The sequence below is a fragment of the Homo sapiens genome, chromosome 2, assembly GCF_000001405.40.
Source record: "Homo sapiens chromosome 2, GRCh38.p14 Primary Assembly".
NCBI classification, from domain to species: domain Eukaryota; kingdom Metazoa; phylum Chordata; class Mammalia; order Primates; family Hominidae; genus Homo; species Homo sapiens.
In genome coordinates, this window is record NC_000002.12 from 239,219,022 (window position 1) to 239,241,222 (window position 22,201).

The following is a 22,201-nucleotide window of genomic DNA, read 5'->3' on the forward strand; positions in this document are numbered from 1 at the left end:
GACTGTAAACTAGTTCAACCATTGTGGAAATCAGTGTGGCGATTCCTCAGGGATCTAGAACTAGAAATACCATTTGACCCAGCCATCCCATTACTGGGTATATACCCAAAGGACTATAAATCATGCTGCTATAAAGACACATGCACACGTATGTTTATTGCGGCACTATTCACAATAGCAAAGACTTGGAACCAACCCAAAAGTCCAACAATGATAGACTGGATTAAGAAAATGTGGCACATATACACCATGGAATACTATGCAGCCATAAAAAATGATGACTTCATGTCCTTTGTAGGGACATGGATGAAATTGGAAATCATCATTCTCAGTAAACTATCACAAGGACAAAAAACCAAACACAGCATGTTCTCACTCATAGGTAGGAATTGAACATTGAGAACACGTGGACACAGGAAGGGGAACATCACACACCGGGGACTGTTGTGGGGTGGGGGGAGGAGGGAGGGATAGCATTAAGAGATATACCTAATGTAAATGACGAGTTAATGGGTGCAGCACACCAGCATGGCACATGTATACATATGTAACTAACCTGCACATTGTGCACATGTACCCTAAAACTTAAAGTATAATAATAATAAAATAAAATAAAATAAAATAAATAAAATAAAAACAAATCCAGTGTAAGGCTCAGATTAGACGGGTAAAAAGCCCCAAAAGGCAAATAGAAACAAATTGAAATGTGCAATCGAGATATCGGTATCACAAAGATTGAATCCAACACTAAATATCAAACATATTTGACCATTTCCTAAGTATAAAGCATGCAATCTACAAAGATGACGGAACTGTCTGAGGCACACACTGTGGGTACCTTCGAGTAAAAACACAGAACACACAGAATGAAGACACACATGGTCAGCACTAGATATGAACTTGCTCTTGTACACTCACGGCAGAGCAAACACACAGGAGGTGTGCATACAGAGGATGGGAATAGTACAATTCTTACTTCAGCCAACAGATAGGCCTCGAACCTCTTATCATTAAGCCATGTATGCCTTTTGCTGCAAGCCTCCATGAAACATTTACAAAAACCAATGCCACATAAAGAACACAGTTTCCAAATACACACAGTGTAGACTAAACACTGGAACACACTGCAACAGAACCAGAAATAAAACCAGGAGAAACAAAAATCCAACCATGGGAAAAATGAGTCTCTTTCTCTTAAACGCTTCAAATTCTAGTGAAAGTGGTAAAAATTTATAAAGTAATGAACACATCACATATCGAAAATTGTAGGAATTGCCTAAAATTGAGCTCAGAGAACAATGAATAGCTGCCTACATGTAAGTAACTACAAAAGGAACCCAAACAAATAAAAACATTAGACTCAAAAAGTTAGAAAAATAACTAGAAAATTAAAGCATACACTGTGCACTGAAAAAGAGGAAGAAGATAATAAAGATGAAAGAAATCTGACAGATTGCGGATCTAGGCAGAAGCGATAAAGCCTATGGTGGGGACAGTTTGTGCTTGGTAGGGGAAGACAGTGACCTCGGAGAAGATGGTGCCAGAAGACTCTTAGGAACTGGTCAGCGGCCTTTCATCATGAAAATCTTCAACGACACACAGAGTTAGCGAGAGGAATATAATAAACACCCACGTATCCGGCTACCACAATGATCAACCTTAGTCATTCAGCTTCATCTACGAACATCCATCTTTTTTTCTTTATTTCTAATCCCATGGAATGACACATCTCAACTTTAAATGGATAACAGATGGGAAACGAGCCATATATTTTATTAAAGGTTTCTCACACTAATATTGTGAATTTAAAAGATAATTATAGATTCACAGGAAGTTGCCAAGAAAGTCCAGAGAGGTTGCAGGTACCCTTCCGCCAGGTTTCCCCCACTGGTTCCACCTTCTGTAGCCAAAAAAAGCCAGGGACCGACCTTGGTACCGTGTTGTCATCATGACCAAGGCGAGGTACTCCCTCACCACGAAGACCTCCCTCCCACCAGCCCTTGGACTCAGCTCATTCTGCGGGCGGTGGCGTGTGACCCGCTGAGTGAGGCACAGAGGCCTCACCGCCCTGTCTCTCTTTACCTTCCCCGTTTACAGGCGCCTTAAATGATTCCTCTACATGAAGGAGAACCCTGTCAGATGGTATTAGTGTTCTTGCGAATACCATTTAGAAGAATAAAAGAGAAGCGAAGGGGATGGAGCGGACATCGGCCCGTTCTCTGACATAAACCGCTGAGGAAAGCCAAGGTCTGTGCACAGGAGCGGGGGACACCATGGTGCCACCTGACACCACATCAGGGGAGGAGATGGGAGCATTCTGGGAAACCCTCTGGAAAAAAAAATCACAGCTCCAACCAACAAAGCTAAGAGCATCTGGTTACCCCACAGGGACTACTGAATTGCAAAGCAAAACAAAAAAGACAGGAGTGTGGCAGGAGCTTCGGAGACCCTGTGCCCCTCCCCAGGGGTTAAGAGTGGCCAGCTGGGAAGGACGGCCCATGCCCATCTCTGTGTCCTCAGCACTCACCGCAAGGCCTGGACTCAACTGTGTCACCTCGAGTTGCGCCTCAAAGTGCGCTGAGAGTGGGACACACACACACACACACACACACACACACACACACACACACAGCCTTCAACTGAAGAACAGCTACTTCCACATCTGTCCACATTCTTAAGGGTCCCCTAAATGTATGACAAACTCAAAAATCTCATTTTTCAGCCAGTCATCGTGGACGAGAGCCATTTTTATAATGCACACACAACTTGAAGTGATTCTTTTCTGGTGAATATTTCTTTCAAAAGGTCCTATTAAATGACAAGCCGAAACTATTGAAGCTATCACGAACTTTGAGGAAATAAAACTTTCCTTAACAGGTCACTTAAAAGGCTTTTTTTCTTCTGAGTAATAAGCTGTATCAACAACGCAGCAAGCTTTACTCAAAAACGTATTCCAAATTTGATTCGAACAGAAAATAAAGTCCTTCCTTGCCAGCATTAAATCCAAATGCGGCTGTAAACTTGCTGCCATAAGGGGCTCCAAAGACCCTTCCCACCCAAGGGATGACACCCTGTGCCAGCGCAAGGCCAGAAACAGATCAGAAACGCCTCCCTTCGCTTCCCTGGCTTTTACGGCAGCCCGTGATGTTATTCTCGTGGAATTCCGTGTGCAGAGTCCCTGGGTGCTGGCCGTACCAGCCAGGGCTGTATCTGGAGGGAGCAAGACCATCTGTGTGCTTCTGTTCCACAATTTAATGAAAACGCAAGTGTTAGATTTTTTCCCTGCTCCCTATTTCAGAACTATCCTTAAAGCTCTTTAGAAAATCCTTTTAATGTTTCTAATTTGTTCTATATCCCCAGGAAGAAAAAAACATCTTTTGGAAATATTTGCAAGCTCAAATTGAGCAAGAGCTGAAAATAAAAACCTGGCATGCAGTTGGTAAGTTGGCTTTCAAGAAGTGCACAAATGTACTTCCTGGAAACTATAAATAGAACCAGGCCTTACCCCATACCAAAAAAAAAAAAAAAAAAAATGGTGAAATGTGCTTTAAGTTCTCATACAGAAGCGCAGCCATGAAAGACAAGCATGACCCCCAGAAATAACAGACAGAACCATCCGTCTGAGATGCTGCTACAATCACGTTATGGACAAAGCATTCCTGGAAAATCTTTCTAAGACTCTACAATTCCAATGCAAAAGCAATTGAATAGAAACAATAACAAAAAACTAATGTTTCAGGACTGAGCACGAATTTAAAGTATTTTTGCTTTGTGATCTCCTTTCGTCCTCACAGCCCCCTGAAGCAGGTCCCAGCGGGGACCTGGGTATCACAGACGGGAGATGCAGCCAGTAAGCATTGTCACCTGGATTCAAAACTGGCCACACCTCCTGGAACACCACCACCTCCCTGAAACCACTGCAGCCCATCTCTCCAGCCTGCTCACACCAGCACAAGTTACACGTTACTCCTGAAAGCTATCCAAATACCCTAAACCCAATGGATAAAAATATATTGTCTGAAAATTAAAAATAGTTTCAGTGGTCTAGGAAGCCTACAAATCCCACTGCAGTTGCTCTTGCCTTCTCAGTTACGTAAGATCAAGTTTACATAAGAACGCATTTCAGAATTTCCTTCTTAGCAACCTCCAAACGTTTGGTTATGTGTTTCACCTAACAGCTGGGCCGAAGTAGGAACCACTATTACTTAACAGTAACAGTTGAAATATTTAAAAATAGAAACCATTGGAGAAGAAGAGAGGGCACCAAGGACGAGGCCTGAAGGAGGTAGCCCCTCTCTCTGGGGCGAGCCGGCCTCTTCCAGGCAGCAACGTACATTCCGCCGGGGCTTTCTGGAGACCGGCGTGGGCTGCAGCATCTTTCAAGGGCGCTGCGGGTCACTGGGGGTGGAATAATCCAGCAGGCAGGTGGAAATGCAGAAGGCAGGGGGCTGGTTCAGACTTCTGTCCAGAAAAATCACCTGGGCAGCTTGATAAAAAGTGACTTACGCCTCCCAGCCTCAGTTCCTGAACCAGTAACTACTGTGTGATGTCCCCAGGGGCATTAAATGCCAATGAACACACGGTACGTAGCTGAGTGACAGATGGGTGGCCTTGGTAAGGGGACCTGTGGCCATCAGTGTCCTCATCATTGCTGTAATTAGGAGCAACCACGAGTCCCACTTTGAGCAGGACCTTGCTGCTGGCTGTGGAGGCTGTGCGCTCACACTCTCTGCCCAGCAAAGATCCCGGAGCCAGTAACTCTCTTGCCAGCAGGAACACTTTACAAAGTAGGATTTGGTAGAAGATGCATGCCAGCACTAAGCAAACATTGTTTAAAAAAAAAAAAAAGGGAAAAGAAACAAAGTCTACTTTGTGGACCTTGCACGGAGGAGATCCACTGCCCGGGAGAGTTCATGTCCATGTATCTTTCTGCTATGAATGCCCAGCGCAGGCCCCTCCCACGTTCAGCGCAGGCTCGCCAACGCCTACCACTCAGTGTTCCAAACTGGGTGCCTTTGAAAGCACTGCACAGATCCATACTAATCCTCATCCCAGCGCAGGGTCTGCTCCACCCACATTCCCCATGAATTCATGCAACTCCATCAGCAGTGCTTAAAGCCAAAAATCCTGAGGTCACCCTCGACTCTTCTGTTTCCTGCACAGCCCATCTGCAGGCTAAGGAAATCCCATCTACGTCAGATATCTCTAGAATTTGTACCATTTTCTACATTCCCACTCCACCTACCCGGACTGAGCCCCATCCACTGCCTGGGTTGCTCCCAGACCCTGGTGGGTCTCCCTGCTCCTCCGATGCCTGTCCCACGTGGCCACTGCATTCTCTGTGGCATACGTCACGTGGTGTCGCTTCTCTGCTCAGAACCTCCAGGAGCCTCCATGTCACTCAAAGCCATGCCTAATTGATTAACCCGGCCTTTTATGTCTCCCGCACCGCCCACTCCCTCTTCTCCTGACCAGGTCTTCGGCCTGCAAATGTCTGCTCACCTTCTAAGGAGGCCTGCCCTCACCAGCGGGTGTAAAATCGCAGCCCCTCCACTCCCGAGCCCTGCTCTGCCTTCCCTGCTCTACTGTTTACTCATTGCCTTTACTAGTTTCCTCTCTTCCTCCCAGGGTAACATGAGTACCATGAAATAGGGGTCTCTGTGTCAATCATAAATACATGTATTCCATATGCCAAGGGCAGGGGATGGCATTAGAAGGCCCAATCAATATGAATGAGTGAATGAATGAATGAGTTGAACGCAGAAATCCACCCTCCTGAATCCCCAGTCCTTGACTGCTCACTCTCCTCCACAGCGATTCTCGCCTCTCACATGTTCTAATATTGTAGGTAATTTACAATCAATAAGCTGGAATTAATGAGCATATTTAGAATCCAGCACCCAATTACTAGAGAATTCAAAATCTTCTCACACATATATTAAAGATTCATAAAAATTGACCACAAAGCAAGTCTCAGTAAAATTCAACAGCTGGGTAATTTCTAACCATAATGGAGTAAATTAGAAATGAATAACAAAAAAGATGACTTGGAAAATTCAGACTTTCGGGAAACAAAAAACACTTCTAAATATTTCATTTTTTCAAATAAAAAAGGAACCAAAAAGCAAATTTCAAAATAACTCTCTTGAGAAACACCAAGACTTTATGAAGTGTTAATGTAATATGCTTTACAAATTAAATAATACAAATTAGAACTTATCCAAAGCAGCCCCATTTGAACCCCAAGGGAAGCACAGCACAGAACCCTGAATGCCTCCATCCGAAAGGAAGAAGGGCTAAAAATTAACAAGTGAAATGTTCAACCTAAAAGAACAAGCATATCCGAATAAATGCAGAGAAAGGAGAACAGCTATTAAAACAGGAATTAATAAAACAGAGAACACACCCACAAGAGCAGATCCACGAAGGCAGAAGTCGGTCTGCGGGAGAGTAAAGCATAGCTGGACTCCCACCACCTGCAGGGTGCCCCCACCCCAGGGGGGGATGAGAAACACCTGGATGGAGGGGTGGAGCCTGGCTGGGCTCAAGAGCAGGAGAGGGAAGCCAGGAAGGCGGGGAAGGCAGGTCGGCAGGGGAGGGCAGGCCCGCCCAGGAAGGCCCACGCAGGGCTGGGTGCTGTAGAACTGAAAGAAGTGCCAGCCCCTTCCTCAGGCGCCTGACTAAACCGCCTTCAATTTCTTCCCCTCGCCCGTGGCCACGTACTGCTACCCAAGGGACACCTCCAGTCCTCCCTCACCTGGTCAGACACCTGGCTCTGATGGCCCCTCGGAGCCCCTCATTGGAAACACAGAGGGCCTGAGTTTGGTTCTGCATCACGTGTGACAGTGTGTGCATCTTGCTGTGAGGTCCAGAAATGGAAACCTTCCTTAAAAGATGGGCAGGTTCCTCTGGTAGGGGACATGGTGTTGGTACGGCGAAAACATGACATTAGGGTCAAATGTGGCTGCTGAGAAGGAACTCCCTTTCAGCTGCACCGCGACACCCTAACACAGACAAGGGTCGGCAAAGAGCCATCTCCCTCGTCCTGGCGGCACAGGCTTCCAGATGCCACTGAGGGGCTCCGCAGGCCCTCTGGATACATTTTACAGTCCACAGCCTTAAAGCACACAAAGCTGGTAATAAAAGAAAAAAGATAAAAAGCCCTTTAACCAGAAATGATGTCATGATGCAAAAATTCATTCCTGGATAATACTTTTGGCCACCAGTGACACTCCGAATACACAAACCAAACCAAATTCTCAGTGGAAAAAAAAAATCCTTTCTTCCAACCAATCATCACTTAGAACTGTGGAATCCTCCCTGAGAGATACTCAGTGAGATTTCTCTGTATTCTGTATCAACACGGTTGAGGGGCACTGCTGGGACTGCCACATAGCTTTCTCTCTCCCTCTAAAGTAGAGAAACAACCAGTCACCAGCTCCACCCCATCCAGATTTGCTGTGGATGTGTGGACGGTTTTAGAAGCACCCAGAGGATATTTCTCAGACAGCACCCCCAATTCTCCACGACGCCCCAACCAATAACCGTCTGCTTTCTTACCACCCATGTTCCTTGCTAAGGGCAGACAGTAAGCTCTTCAGAAATCTTTGGGTCGACAGCAACAACAACAATGTAACATGTAATGGGGGGGGTGATAAATGTAGATAACCCAAACAATCTAATGTCCACCCAGGATGGAGAAACTTTCTATCTTTCTGCCTCAGGCACTGCGGACAGGGAAAGAACCAGTTGGAAAGTGAGGCCGGCAGGCTCACGGGTGGGGCTGGCAGGCAGCAGTGTCCTGGGCCGCGTGGGGAGGCACGGTCCCACCTGCCAGCCACAGGGTGGCATTTCAGAGCCACAGGGCATTTCTGGTCAAAAATAACAGAGTGAACACAATCACGTTGTCAGGATCCCTCCAAGATTCTGCTGAAACAGTGTGTGGATTGTTTAGAAAGACACACCAACACAACACACACACAGGAGATGAGAGAGCAGCCACAAAATGCTGGAAGTCAGAAAGGATCTGGGTGAATAAGGTATCAGAGACAGCAAAGCTGACCCATCAGCCAGGGTGGGCCAAGGGAGGGGCAGACCAGTCTCGGTCACACAGCCCTCCGGGGCACAGGGGCTGGTGGGACCAGGACTGGAGGTGAAGGAGAATGAAATATCTGCTCAGGGAATGCAGGGCCCCAACCACCGCTTACCCCACGTGGCTGGCAGAGCCCAGGGACTACTACCCTCTGGAGAGGGAGATGGAACAGCACTGAAAACTGCGGACCAGTGGAAGCTGGCCAGCTACACGTGAGGTGTCCTGGTCTTCCTGCCCCAGCATGGGGGCAGGGCAGGCAGCATTGGGCCCTCCCAGTGAGGTCACAGGGGCTAAGCAGCCTGCTGGACACCATGCCAAGTGGGACCGGGCAGCCCCCAGCGGCCAGCACCCTGCATGCCCCTGCAGGTCCCGCCAGCCTCAGTGCCCTCTGCTACAGATGGCAGATACCGTGCTCACCAGAAAGGCCAGGAAGACTGTCATCACAGAAGGCAGAGCCTGGACAGACAGACAAGCACCTTGGGGAAATGCAGACAGAGAGAAGGGAAGACAGGCCCTCCAAAGACAAGCGGAAGGAGCGGGAGGCAGCCCTGGAGTTCCAGGACAGGAGGGCATGCCTCGGGTGCGGAGGAACATAGTCTCTGCCCGGTGAAATGAGCAAGCAAGCCTCAGAGGGCTAACACCATTAAAAGCCAGAAGGGCCCTCTGAAGGCAAATGTGACTGACTCAGCAGCTTCACGAGAGTCATCGCCCTGCAGATCAGGTCCAGCGGACTGCAGGTCCAGCAGCTGCCACTGCAGGGTGGCCCGGGCCCTCTGCTAGGTCTCCCAGCTGCTTCCATCCACCAGGCATCTTCTCAAGACACATTTTCAACGCAATTCAAGCCCTCCTGTTGTTATGCTTCCCAGCATCAGCTGGGCTGGGTTTCACTTGAGACAGTTGCTCCTAGGGACATTGCCACAAAGGGATGGGAAGGTGGAAGGGACGGTGGTTGAGCTGCAGGAAGGGCAGAGCCACGAACCTGGGGCCAGGCACACCAGAGGGCACCAGGAAGCAAGAGTGCAAGAGAACACAGACCCCTCCTGTGTGCCAGACGCTACGCCAGACACTTGCCCTTGCTGCCTGCGCCCTGGCCCAGGACCAAGCAGCCCCGGGACACCAGGTGAGGAGCAGCCTGCTGGAGGCCATGTGGCCAAAGGGAGACAGGAAGACTGTGCTGCCCCCATGTCTGCCAGGCTCCCAGGCCTTGGAGCAACTCAGCTGAGCCCAGGACCTGATCCTTCACTGGCCTCTGTCAATACTGAGCCGGAACGGGATGGCAGGAGGGAGCTGTCACTGTGAGAGTTAGGAGGAAAGTGAATGGGGTGCAAATACAGGCTGTGTACGCCACGTGAAAGGTGGTGTTCTTGGCCCCGCAGTGTTTCCAGAGAAACCTGATGTTACTGCTCATGGGAGTTCACAGATCTGAGGGGAAGGAGAGCAGAAATCAGAAGTGACTTGTCTCCAGGTGGCAAAAAGCAAACAGCATCAGAGAAAAACAGAACGATCTGAAGGTTTAGGGGCGGATAGGGATGAGATATTGGGAAGGACTGGAGAAGGGGGCATGGGTATGAACAGACCTTGAAAAATAACACCTTTTGAAATTCTTAAGAGGTAATATGCCTTCAGCCATCGAAGGGGAATTGGAACTTGAGGATTACTCGACACCACATCTAGTGAACAAGGTAGTGACCAAGCAGGAGGGCGCAGCTTCTGGTCCAAAACTATTCTCTACTATAAAGTAACAAGGGCTGGGCACAGTCGTTCACACCTGTAATCCCAGCACTTTGGGAGGCTGAGGTAGGCAGATCACTTGAGGTCAGGAGTTCGAGACCAGCCTGGCCAATGTGGTGAAACCTCGTCTCTACTAAAAATACAAAAACTAGCCGGGCGTGGTGGCGGGCGCCTGTAATCCCAGCTATTCAGGAGGCTGAGGCAGGAGAATCGCTTGAACCTGGGAGGCAGAGGTGGCAGTGAGCCGAGATCCTGCCACTGCACTCCAGCCCTGCACTCCAGTCAACACAGTGAGACTCTATGTCTCAAAAAATAAATAAAAATAAAAATAAAATGAATAAAGTAATGGGGCCAATTCGCCTAATTGCCAAAAGTGACTCTTAAAGCATTTCTAAATTGCTCATAATTGTACACGACACACACATGGCCTCCAGGAGTAACGCTATATTGCAGTCAGCTTCTAAAGCCATGTGGGGGGCAGACTCCTGCGTCTGGCCTTTGAGTCATGGCTATTCATACCGGCCCTCAGGTTAACTTGATGGAGGGCAGTCAACAAACTCTCAACATTAGTTTGAACTAAGAGAATCAAACCATGGGAATTCTTTTCAGATTTTTCAAATGTTGACGAAAAAGGCCAAACTCTGTAAAATAGTTGAAGAGGTTTATTTTAAGCCAAATACGAGTGACCATGGCCCAGGACACAGCCTCAGGAAGTCTGTGCCTGAGGTTGTCACGTTACAGGTTGGCTTTATGCGTTTTAGGGAGACAGAAATTACAGGCAACACATGTAAGGTATATATTGGTTTGGCCCAGAACATCTTGAAGAAGTAGGGTGAGGACCTCACAGATCCTAGGCAGACTGAAAGGTTTTCTGACTGAAGAGTTGATGTCAGCATAAAAAAATGTTTGAGTTAAGATAAGCGGAGATTCTCGTTATGTGGATGAGGCCTCCAGGAAGCAGGCTTCAGAGAGAATAGATGGTAAATGTCTCCTATGGGACTTTAAAAGGTGACTTGTAGTTAAATCTCTCCTGGATCAGGAAAAAGAGACCTGGAAAGGGCATGGGATTCTCTCCAGAATGCAAATTTCCCCCCCAAGAGGCAGTTTTCTATAGCCACTCAAAATAGGTGGAAGGAATATATTCTGGGGTAAAATACTTTTATTTCCTGCAGGGCCTGCTCTCTGTCGCCTGCTGCTATCCCAGAGTCAGGGTGGAACCGGGAATCTTACTGCTGTGTCTGTTTTATCAGTCGTGAGATCGCTGTTTTGATGTTAACGCTGGTCAGCTGGGCCTGAACGCCAAAAGGAGGGGGCGTCTAAGGAGGCCTGTCCAACCCCCCATTCCCATCAGGGCCTGAACTCATTTTTCAAGTTTCTTTGGGACCCCTTGGTCAAGAAGGGGGTCCATTCATTGGGTTGGGGGACTTAGAATTTTATTTTTGGTTTACACAAACAGTTTTACTTTGATGTCTTTACATTCTACACTTCATTTTACCTCTAAAAATTAAAACAAAGCAAGCAAGCAAAAAAAAAAAAAAAAAAAAAAGCAAAGCAGGTGACATGTTCCGTGGCGGACATGACCGTCCTGGCCAATCCTTGCCCGTGGCTGGCAAGCTGCCGAGTCCGTGGGCCGGAGGGCATTGATTCCTCAAAGACACTTCCCTGATCGGAGGAAAATAACCCAAGCAGTCACGGCAGGCGCCGCCAGGACGAGGCCGCCACGGCCTCTCTTCTTCCTGCCACTCCTGCCCAGTCCTTCCGTGGGGGCCACTCGAGGAACCACCAGAGATGGCCGTGGGTCCTTCACTGGACCCTATCCAAACCCCAGAAATGCCAGCTTTATGATGAAAACTCACAAAGGGGCACCACGCAGGAATATTACAACCAAGGACTTTGTTACCACGGGCTCTGTGTATGAAGGTAATTAACAGCTTCCGGTGCCAATAAAGGGAGACTTTCGAAGCTTCCCCTGAGGTCACACGTCCTTGCAGATTTGTACCAGATTCCACTTTCTTCTCACCAAACGAAACAATGCAACAACCGCCACAAAACACATCTAGGAGGCAGCATGAGCTCCAGGCACCAGCCAACCTCAAATACTTCCTGTTCCAAAATGTAAGAGCAGTGTCTGGAAATACAGCTCCTTTGACAGTGTGCTGGTCAAACACCCCTTAGATGTGGGAATCCAACGCTGAAGCCAAACGTGAATTTTGCGTTATTTTGGAGAGTTTCTCTACAGTTTCTAGTTAATCCCCTTTAAGGTTCCAGAGTTTTCTTTTAAAAATGGTGCTTTTGAAACATAACCTTAAAAAGAGCCTCCCTAACTCTGACAGATACACGTTTCCCAGGACACAGGTACAGAGGGTGATGAAACCGCCACCCCTATGCCTCAGGAAACCGTGGAACGTGCTTCTCTTTAGTCCAGCATCCCGGTCTTAACATCGGCCTCTACTTCCCCTTTTGGCCGATGGAAGGGCATCGCATTTTCTGAGGATGTCTTTCTCCCCAGTAGCACAGCCCTCAGGGCAGTCATGTGTCCTGCCCTGTAATGTATATGCTGAGCGACCCTGGGACAGCGGCCACGGGATCTGAGGCTCTGGCTTTCCTTCTGTAGGAGCAGTGGGGGGCACAGGAGCCAGGGCACTCGGTCACGGTGGAGAGCAGCGCCATGAGGGCCGTAAGCCCTCAGCATGCCGTCTGTTTAACAGTAAGTCCTTCATCCACACTTCCTGTTGCTACTGACTTTTTTTGTTTGCCTCCGGTTTGCTCCCGGATGCCTGAGGTAGGTGTCCTCCCCGAAGCACCCCTCTCCTCAACCGAGGCTGCTGAGCACCTGCTCCCGGATGCCTGAGGTAGGCGTCCTCCCCAAAGCGCCCCTGTCCTCAACCGAGGTTGCTGAGCACCTGCTCCCGGATGCCTGAGGTAGGTGTCCTCCCCGAAGCGCCCCTGTCCTCAACCGAGGCTGCTGAGCACCTGCTCCCGGATGCCTGAGGTAGGCGTCCTCCCCGAAGCGCCCCTGTCCTCAACCGAGGTTGCTGAGCACCTGCTCCCGGATGCCTGAGGTAGGTGTCCTCCCCGAAGCGCCCCTCTCCTCAATCGAGGCTGCTGAGCACCTGCTCCCGGATGCCTGAGGTAGGCGTCCTCCCCGAAGCGCCCCTGTCCTCAATCGAGGCTGCTGAGCACCTGCTCCCGGATGCCTGAGGTAGGCGTCCTCCCCGAAGCACCCCTCTCCTCAATCGAGGCTGCTGAGCGCCTGCAAGGCCTGGCTGGAAGCCAGCTCGACCTCCAGCCTTGGAACCCAACACCCACCACTTTAGTGATTTTTTTCTACAATAAACATACATTGCTTTTATAATCAGGAAGGGGAGGAGTTTTAGCTACAATGAATCTGAAACAAATGACTGAGTAGTAATAGTTTTTAAGTTCCCCGTAATTCAGCCCTTGGGCATAGTTGGGTTTATAATCCTGTATGACATTTTGCTGGTCTCTCCTGGCTGACTAATTCCATACCTTCTCCTCTGTCCTCAAACTGCAACATCTCCCCAGCCTAACTCAGTCAATGGCTCTGTTTGCTCACTCCATGGGAAAACACAAGGCTCTGGCAGAGAACCGGGGGTCACGAGCTCCCGCCCCCACCCCACCCTGCCACCATGTCTCCGCCTGGGATCTGCCTCGGTGTCAAGTCTCCTCCAAGGGTGGCCCTTCCCCTCACCAAGCCAAGGGTGGCCCTTCCCTCACCAAGCCAAGGGTGGCCCTTCCCCTCACCAAGCCAAGGGTGGCCCTTCCCCTCACCAAGCCAAGGGTGGCCCTTCCCCTCACCAAGCCAAGGGTGGCCCTTCCCCTCACCAAGCCAAGGGTGGCCCTTCCCTCACCAAGCCAAGGGTGGCCCTTCCCCTCACCAAGCCAAGGTGGCCCTTCCCTCTCCAAGCCAAGGGCGGCCCTTCCCCTCACCAAGCCAAGGGTGGCCCTTCCCTCACCAAGCCAAGGGTGGCCCTTCCCTCACCAAGCCAAGGGTGGCCCTTCCCCTCACCAAGCCAAGGGTGGCCCTTCCCTCACCAAGCCAAGGGTGGCCCTTCCCCTCAGCAAGCCAAGGGTGGCCCTTCCCTCACCAAGCCAAGGGTGGCCCTTCCCCTCAGCAAGCAGACAACAACTCCCAGGAAGGGGGAAGAGCAAAGCCACGTCCACAACTGTGACATTCCACTTATTCAAAACGCAAAGAAATAGGAGGCAAAGATGGAATAATACTAACAACATGTCTGTTATATCTTAGTGGTAGGCAAATGGTTATGTGTTTTCTTTTATGATAGAGCTACTTTACAATTAAAATTTTTAAAACATTTTAAAAAAGAAAGAGAACAAAGTCTACAGATAAAAAGTTATGAGGGAAGTTGAAGAAATCAAAGTTGATCTAAGACAAATGGCATTTTGGCTTTTTCCTCCTCCAGTACAGCTGACAATATCCCAAACCCAAAAACCAAAATCCAAAATGCCTCCAAATCCAAAACTTTTTCACGGTGACACTCAAAGGCAATGCTCATTGGGGCATTTCTGATTTTGAATTTTTACACTTAGGATGCTCAACCAGTAAGAATAATGCAAATATTCCAAAATCCGAAAAAAAAAAAAACAAACCCAAAATCCAAAACACTTCTGCTTCCAAGCATTACAGATAAGAGATACTCAACCTGTATAGACTTTCCCAAAGCACATGATATGCTCACCTGACGTTTCTAAAATCTCAAGATGGCACACGAATACATGGTATGAATAATGCTTTTCTGTTGGAAGTGGGAATTTATTAGGACTAAGTGTATTGAAAAAGAACCATAATCAGAAAAAGACCTGTGTTGAACATAACGGCATTCACACGAGGGAATGGTCAGGAAACAGGACAGATCAACAGTGGGGAGGGCTGCCCGGGCGCCCTTCCTGCTCCAAGTACACACTCATCTGTTCAAAGGGAGCGAGCTCTCACAGTGACTGCTGGAGTCATTCCTGACAATTGAGTGTGTGTGTGTATCAGTCTGTTTCCACACCTTCAAACATCAAAATGTCTAAAGAATAGTTAAGATTAAATTCAATCATTAGGAAATGTATAACAGCAATTGAGGACTGACATAACATATACCTAAAAATGTTTATACTCCCATACCATAAAAATGTGGCTTTAAAGACATTTTCCTATCAATTTTCCAGTTATCACCTAACCTGAGATTAATATTTCTTTGCAGTATTTTTCAGTGGGTTGAAATGACCAAAATGCAGTTTGAAAGAACACGCTTCACATTAGAGGCTTCTAAGGCACAGGCCACTGTGCAGGCTCAATGATGGATGTCATACAGGACTGCTGCACATGCATGCATGCTTTCTCTGCCCACTGTTCCTGGGCATCGCTGCTACGTTATTTAAAATTACCCTGCAAACACTCCCACCACGCCCACCAACCCATGCCTGAATATGCAATAAATGCCAGGAGACACGGCACTCTCTCTGACTCAGACCAATGGGAACCTGATGACAAGGGAGGTAAATGGCCAGCGTCATGGGGCAGCCTTCCCAACATGCCACTTCTCAAGTCCGGCGGCTCACCCCAAAGGAAGAGAATGAGGGTGACAGGCTGCAGGAGAGGTCCAGGCCTTGAACGGGGATATAAAGGCTACATCACACACATTCCTCAGTACTAGTCAACGGGACACTGAGATGACATTTATTGAGGAACTACTAAAAAGCTGACACATATCTTTCATCTTTATGAGAACTCTGTAGAGAGGCATTATCATCCCCGGCTAAGAAATGAGAAAACAAAACTGAGCTATTCAGCAACTCGCCTAAGCTCCCACGCAAACAGGCAGCAGAGGCGGGCCCCAGGTGCCCTCTGTGGGAGGCTGAAGCCCCGGCCTGTCCTCACACCAGGCAGGGATCCCATGGCAGGTCTCGACAGGCAGGGTGCGCTTCCCAAGCCAGAATATTAATTTGAAGCCCACCTTTTTTGGTTCACTTGGAAACTATGCATATTTACCATCTTTTCCCAGCCCATCAAGCTATCAGAAAATCCTCTTACCCTCGTGCCACGCCTGGTTAAGCACAAGCAAGTTGTCTCAAAAATGCCCCAGCCACAGAATTCAGTGTTTACACGAAAACAACACCGGCAAAGTGAACTTGAGAGAAAGTGAAAACCAAAACTGTCGACATAAGCCAAAATTTTAAAATTGTGCATCTTCATCTGGTACTTAAAGCTCCCCACCGCTCCCCCAGGCTCCAGTGTGCTGGGGTAAAAAATAAACTGCTTGATCAGTAATAATGCAGAGTAAAATCAAGGTGTAAAAAACAGACAGAAAGGAGCCCCCCGAACACCCCCCAAGAGGCCAGGGGACCGTACCCCACAGACACAGAGAGCCTTCCCGGAGCAGGGCAAAGACACCTCCAGAACTCCGGGTTTGGAAAATGACAGAAAACCTGGCCGACTTGGAAGAATCACAAGGCAAAGAAGGAAATCTCTTCTTGGAAACGTTCAGCCTGGCTTCAAGCTGGCTTCAACTTCCTTTCGGGGTGATGAGTGGGTCTAACTGGGGCACCGGAGGGCACAGGCGGCAGCAAAGGCTGACTGTCAAGGAAGGTGCAGCAGAGCCAAAACCAGAGACCCAGGCCTCGGGACGCAGTCCCTGCAAGGCCCAGCCACACTGCCCTGCAGGACGCATGTGGAACGGAACACTGGTTCCCTCAGCCCCACGCCATCAGGAGGTTCAGGTTTTATTCTCGGAGAGGCTGCATGGCTGGGAAGAATGGTACCCTCACAAGGAGTTTAAACCCTGGAGGATTCTATGTGGAAACGGGTTTTACAGACAAAGAAAAGGGGGAAAAAGTCTGTTTCCATGGCCTATAGACTTGGAGTACCTTAAAATGTTACCTATGGGGCTGGGCGCGGTGGCTCACGCCTGTAATTCCAGCACTTTGGGAGGCCGAGGCAGGCAGATTACTTGAGCTCAGGAGTTCAAGACCAGCCTGGCCAACATGGTAAAACCCCGTCTCTACTAAAAATGCAAAATTAGCCAGGTGTGGTGGCACACACCTGTAATCCCAGCTACTTGGGGAGACTGAGGCAGGAGAATCGCTTGAACCCGGGAGGTGGAGGTTGCAGTGAGCCAAGATTACGCCACTCCACTCCAGCCTGGGCGACAGAGTGAGATTCCGTCTCCAAATAGACAAATGCATAAATAACTAAAAATTACCTATGGAATGAAATATTTCTGATCACCACCGATACTTTTTTTTGTTAAAGAGCTGAAAGGTACTTGGAAGACAGATGATGCCACTGACTCATTTAACCAACAAAAGCTGGTGGCAATGGAAAAGGCGCGGTCTGTCCACGGTCACGTGGCCAGTGGGACCCAGCCCCGCCCACTGCAAGCTCAGAGGTCTTTCCTACAGGCCCTCACGGGGATCAGGGCCAGGGGTTACACCTAAGCCAGGCAGTTGGTGCCTTTGGGAAGAACACATCCTTTAGCACCAGAGAGAAAAAAAACAACAAAAAATCAGCATTTCTCTACCATTTACATGGCACGGAGCCATTTCATTTCCAAAAAGGATGGCCTCTTTTACCACCAGGAAGAGCACCCAAATTCAGTGAACCTGATACCCCACACCTCCCCCCTCGCCCTCTCTGCACTCCTCCAATAAGGCAGAGCGTCTGAACACCTCTTTGGCTCAGCGCAGGGCCGGCCGGACAGGGCAGGGGTGGGCGGACTTACCCGTGCTGGGCATGTGGTTCACGCGGGCAGGATTCAGCAGCTCCACTGGCTGGTCTCGGCCAGAAAGTCCATCTGGAGAACAGAGAAGGCACTGGCTTCAGAAACTGCGCGCATTTCAGCCAACATACTTTATGCTGGGAGTCTGCAGGGAGTAACTCCCCAAACAATGAAATGCATGTGTCCTTCCTACTTTTACAGGGGGACACTTTCAGCTTCATCATAGATTATTTGTATTTGCCAATGTAGAATAATCAAAATAGCCTCCTACTGAGATATGGCAAACGCCCGTTTCTGGCCTAAGAGCCACTGGCTTAGCAATTTGGGTTTACTTCTGTTCAGCAACCACATTATACCCACTCGTGCTGATCAGAAGTCGGCTCTTCTGCAGACCACAAGCATTAAGATAACAAAAAGAGAAGAGCAGCTCTTCCTCTTCTCAGATAGTGACAAACGGTCTGGACGCTCACAGAAACACAGCACAGGGAGCCCTCGGAACCCGCCAGGTGTGCAGACAGGGAAGGAGGCAAGCTGAGGCCACTCTAGCTGCAAATAGGCATGGAGGAGAACGCTTCACCAGGTGTTCTCAAGGTATAGAGTCCTTTCTTTTAAATCCATTTTTAGACTGTATTATGGAGCGGTTTCCATCTATTCAGACTCACTGCAAAGATGAGACTGGAACCCACCCACCACCTAAACCTGGCACAGGCTGGATTTAGACCGCCTGGGATTTTTCTATATTCTCCCAAGCAGAAAGGAAAGAAAACTCTGGCAAGATTTCCAGGAATCACACTTTTCTTTTAAAATTAGCTTCTGACAAGTGGTGTAAAATGCCCTGCAATAATATGCATATCATTACAGACTTGCACGCGGAGGTCATTTTCCTTACTAAGCGAAGGAGAGCACCAGTTTCGCAGGGCAGCCATGGAACTCTGTAGATACAAGTTTTAAAACAGGACAAAAACGACTAACATCAGGTCAAATGACTGCAAAAAAAAAAAAACCCATTTTTTTATCCAAAATAGATAATTCCTAGCATTGCCAACCCGTGCATGTCCTTGGAGATGTTCAATATTCAAGAACGGAAACAAGGGTCCCAGGAGATTGGAGGGCATGCTCTTGAAGTTAGAACTGGGAAAGTGTGAGGCCAACATGGACCTGCAGGAGCTCAGCAGGTGAGGCTGCTCTTGGGCAATGCAGAGATCAAACGTGGGTGCCAGAAATAAAAATCAAAATGAAGACAACAACAAAAAACCACGGGGACCTCTCCAACCAACCAGCAGCTCCTCCCAAGTCTCGGCAACTCTTAAGGTTTGAAAACAGAAGTAAAGACAGTAAGACACTGGGCATATTCGGAGGCAAAACAGTTCTGCTTCCCTGGGTCAGGAGAAAGACCGGCAGGTCATAGTTACACCTTAGAAGCAACCACCAGACCTGAGCAATCGCCCCAAGTCTTCACACATTCCAGGGCTTTCTCAAAGAACATGGCCACCTTAGGAGATGGCCTGGATGCTGAATTGTAAACATGATGCCATGTCTCAAGAGAACCTTCACTGCAACTCAGAAAGAGACCCCAGATAGTGGTGGAAAGTACTTTTCAAGCCTTTTTTTCCCCTAAAAATAAATATATTTGTATTCATTTTTATAATAAATAAAAATAAATAAATGCTCATTGTAGACAAAAAATAAAAAATTCGAAAAGGTGCCTGTATGTATGTATGTTTATATGTGTGTGTGTATTTAACCCAAATCCCACTATAAATACTTTCAGAAACAGCAGAAGGCCCTTTTGAAGATCTCAATGTAGCTGCAGTTTTCCAATGGGAAGGGGTCAAGAGGAGGGGGCTTGGGGGGACCACCCTGGTCAGGGTTCTGCAACAGTTCCTACGAGCCAATGCCTGTCCCCCAGAACTGCCTCCCCTGTAGTCAGCTCAACGCCCAACCTTAGCTTCCACCTCAGCAAAAGCCCTAGAACCAGAAAGTTTGGAAACCAAGAAGCCCCCAGTGGTGAGCAGCAGCGGTGGGGCCAGAGTCCCAGCTCACATGAAGCCCTTTCTTGAGTTTGGAAGTGAACTGCTTATGCCTGAGCCCAAAAGGCGGATCCCTCCAGCACCGAGTTCATACATGAGGCCTAATTACAAGTTACTTTTACTACACTGAAGCAGGAAGACACATCAGATCTCAGTGCAACCGATTTGACTTGTAAGTCACGATACGTGGTGTTCCTGTATCCACAAGCATCACTCGTGTGTTTCAGATCAAGGTGCAGCTTAGTGGGTCTTGGCTCACCTACATTTCTGGGCACTGGGCTGGTCCGCGTCCCACCTACCCTTCAAGAAGACATTTATTGCATGCTTGCACTAGCTGGCACACCAAGGAGAATGCCGTTCGATAACAGCATGTGGATTCCCTGCGTAAACCAGACCTTGACCTTAACATGTCCAATCCTGTATACTGGCGGGTGGGGTGGTTTCTGACACCAGCCAACTGGCACCAACTGGGCGTCCAATGATCCAGTTCCACTCTGACAATAACTGCCCAGAGCTAGCACACACGCCACAGGGGCTCAGGTCCACAAGGCTGCCCCCATTTCAGACACAAGTCCTGGGCCTCCTGGACTTCTAAAGATCGGCTATAAATCAGGAGTTCCCACAAGCCCCTCTCAGGTTCTGTAATTTGCTAGAAGGGCTCACAAAACTCAGAAAAACACTTTACCATGTTGATGGGTTTATTGTAAAAGATGCAAATAAACAGTAACATGAAGGCAGGGTCTGGAGGGGTCCTGAGTGCAGGAGCCTCTGTGTCAGTACCACTGGGGTCAGCAGGTGCGGCTGAACATGCTGCTCCTCTCGTCTCTGCGTCCTGGTGACTGGCCCCATCCCGAGGCTATCCAGGGGTCCTGCCCTAAGTCACTTCATTAGCATAAACTCAGAAGCACATAAGAAGCTCCTCCTTAGGAATAACGAAAGGCTCGCTGGACACTCAGGAAGCTCCTGGGATCCTAAGAGCTCCCTGCCAGGAACGAGGACAAAGACCAGATAAGGCTTATTCTTCCACCACACAGAGATGCTGCTTGTTCTCGTTGTGTGCCACTGGGCCTGGCTAGTCTCATAACAACCTGTACATTCAAACCCCCAACACTGCCATGTTCACATCTTTGTAGAATGACATGGAAATGCTCGAAGGGAAAGCTGTTCTGAGGCGGCACTGGGTTAATAGGAAGTGCCTGCCTCTCGCGGAACAGGGCAGCCATGTGGAACTATCAGAAAACAGCAGGAGTGTCTCAAGCACAGGCGGCCTTGGAGGCGGCGGCACAGACATGGGTCTCAGTGCCGGACGCTAACCCCACATGTGGAGGCCCCGTGAGCCCCAGCCAGCTGGAAGCACGGCCACAGTCTCTTTAAGACAAGATCCCGGCCTGAGCCGTCCTTGGTCGTCCACCTGGACAGCATGACAGATGCCGCATCCCTCATTATGAAAGGCTGGGGCTCAGGGCAGCAGCCATGATCGAGAAGCCAAACACTAAAGGCGTTTTGCCAGAGGTGGCTGGTGGAACACAATCCTGGGGGTAAAGCAGTGGCGGTGAGTGCACTTTGCAGGCGCAGGGGCCACCAGGCCTGGGAAAGACAGCTTTGGAACGGACCTAAACAAAGCGTGGCCAGTGGGGCAAAGAACGTCTGTCACCAGGGTGAAATAGACAAGCTGCGGTACACAGCCAGCTGGAACGCATGACGGCATCCGTGAATGTGCACAGAATAGATTCTTAACGCTGTGTTTTTTCAGATATCATATTCCAGAGTGAGTTAAAATGAAATTAGTGATGAGAGGTGGAATTTCCATATTTATCTGCCTCTGGGCTGAAATTTCTCAGGCTGAGGAGAAAGCGGTGCTAAGAACCCAGCGTTTACAAGCAGGAAAATAATGAAGATGGGAAGCAAAGTACCACTTCCTCATCACACGCCTGCTGCAAGCAGGTTCCCCCTTATCTGTCTCCGCTTGAGAATCTATTTTTGGAAACCCTGCTGGACAGGGACGATCGTACTGAGTGTCCTCAAACAGCATTTAATCAGCGCTGGGGCTGCAGACCAGATGCACACTGAGAGGGAGGCCGAGGAGCACGGGTACCTCGTGTCCTCACCAGCACATGATGTGCCCCAGTGTGCTCAATGCACCCACAGTCAACTGCAGTGACCACATCACTCTTGCCAGGAGTCCCTTTCGCGCCGACAGGACCCAGCCTGAACTGAGCATTGTTTGAGACTCGGAGTCCGCCCATGGGAGGAACAGGACTAAGACAGACAGTGCTTTTGCTTTTCAGAATCCACCTTGCATCAGACGGGTAGGTATGTCTAACCAGAAACCCGGCCTTCTGGAGCCAAAGGAACCTCACTTTCACCCGGAGGGCCCAGGCCCCCCACTTCACACTTGGGGAAATGGCCTCAAGGGCTGTGCAGTTTCCTAGGATCACGGAGTGAGCACCAGCCGGAATCCAGTTCTGTCTCAATTAAACCAGCGGCTTGTCTGAAGCTGGACCTTGAGCAAACAGGTACCCACCAAGACCAGTGCCCTCCACCAAGGGTTTCACATCACAATACCGACACACAAGAAAGGAGGTTTCTTGAGCCAATAAAGA

At 49.0% G+C, this 22,201-nt stretch overlaps 1 protein-coding gene across 50 annotated transcripts in view, besides 3 other annotated features; it reads right to left on the reverse strand.

Annotated features, from left to right (window-relative positions):
• Nucleotides 1–22,201, reverse strand: part of HDAC4 (histone deacetylase 4) — a 353,482-nt gene that overhangs the window by 170,854 nt on the left and 160,427 nt on the right. For 41 of the 50 annotated variants that reach the window (NR_198957.1, NR_198958.1, NR_198959.1 and 38 more), the window contains one exon: nucleotides 17,572–17,643. The exons of 7 other annotated variants lie outside the window; for them this stretch is intronic. Coding sequence is in view for 38 of the 43 variants with exons in the window: in XM_047446483.1 (XP_047302439.1) it covers nucleotides 17,572–17,643 (72 nt within the window). In the remaining 5 variants the exon portion in view is untranslated. Of the gene's footprint in view, nucleotides 1–6,406; nucleotides 11,347–16,985; nucleotides 17,644–22,201 lie in introns of those variants that run through there. 2 more of the 50 variants (NR_026664.2, XM_011512227.3) reach the window with 2 other exon arrangements.
• Nucleotides 6,097–6,991: an enhancer, noted in NCBI's record as "H3K27ac-H3K4me1 hESC enhancer chr2:240146814-240147708 (GRCh37/hg19 assembly coordinates)". NCBI's record gives its function as "activates a minimal SCP1, AML or CMV promoter by ChIP-STARR-seq in primed H9 embryonic stem cells {active_cell/tissue: H9 hESC(primed)}" and the evidence as "EXISTENCE:reporter gene assay evidence [ECO:0000049][PMID:30033119]".
• Nucleotides 11,494–11,994: an enhancer, noted in NCBI's record as "H3K4me1 hESC enhancer chr2:240152211-240152711 (GRCh37/hg19 assembly coordinates)". NCBI's record gives its function as "activates a minimal SCP1, AML or CMV promoter by ChIP-STARR-seq in primed H9 embryonic stem cells {active_cell/tissue: H9 hESC(primed)}" and the evidence as "EXISTENCE:reporter gene assay evidence [ECO:0000049][PMID:30033119]".
• Nucleotides 12,738–13,277: an enhancer, noted in NCBI's record as "H3K4me1 hESC enhancer chr2:240153455-240153994 (GRCh37/hg19 assembly coordinates)". NCBI's record gives its function as "activates a minimal SCP1, AML or CMV promoter by ChIP-STARR-seq in naive H9 embryonic stem cells {active_cell/tissue: H9 hESC(naive)}" and the evidence as "EXISTENCE:reporter gene assay evidence [ECO:0000049][PMID:30033119]".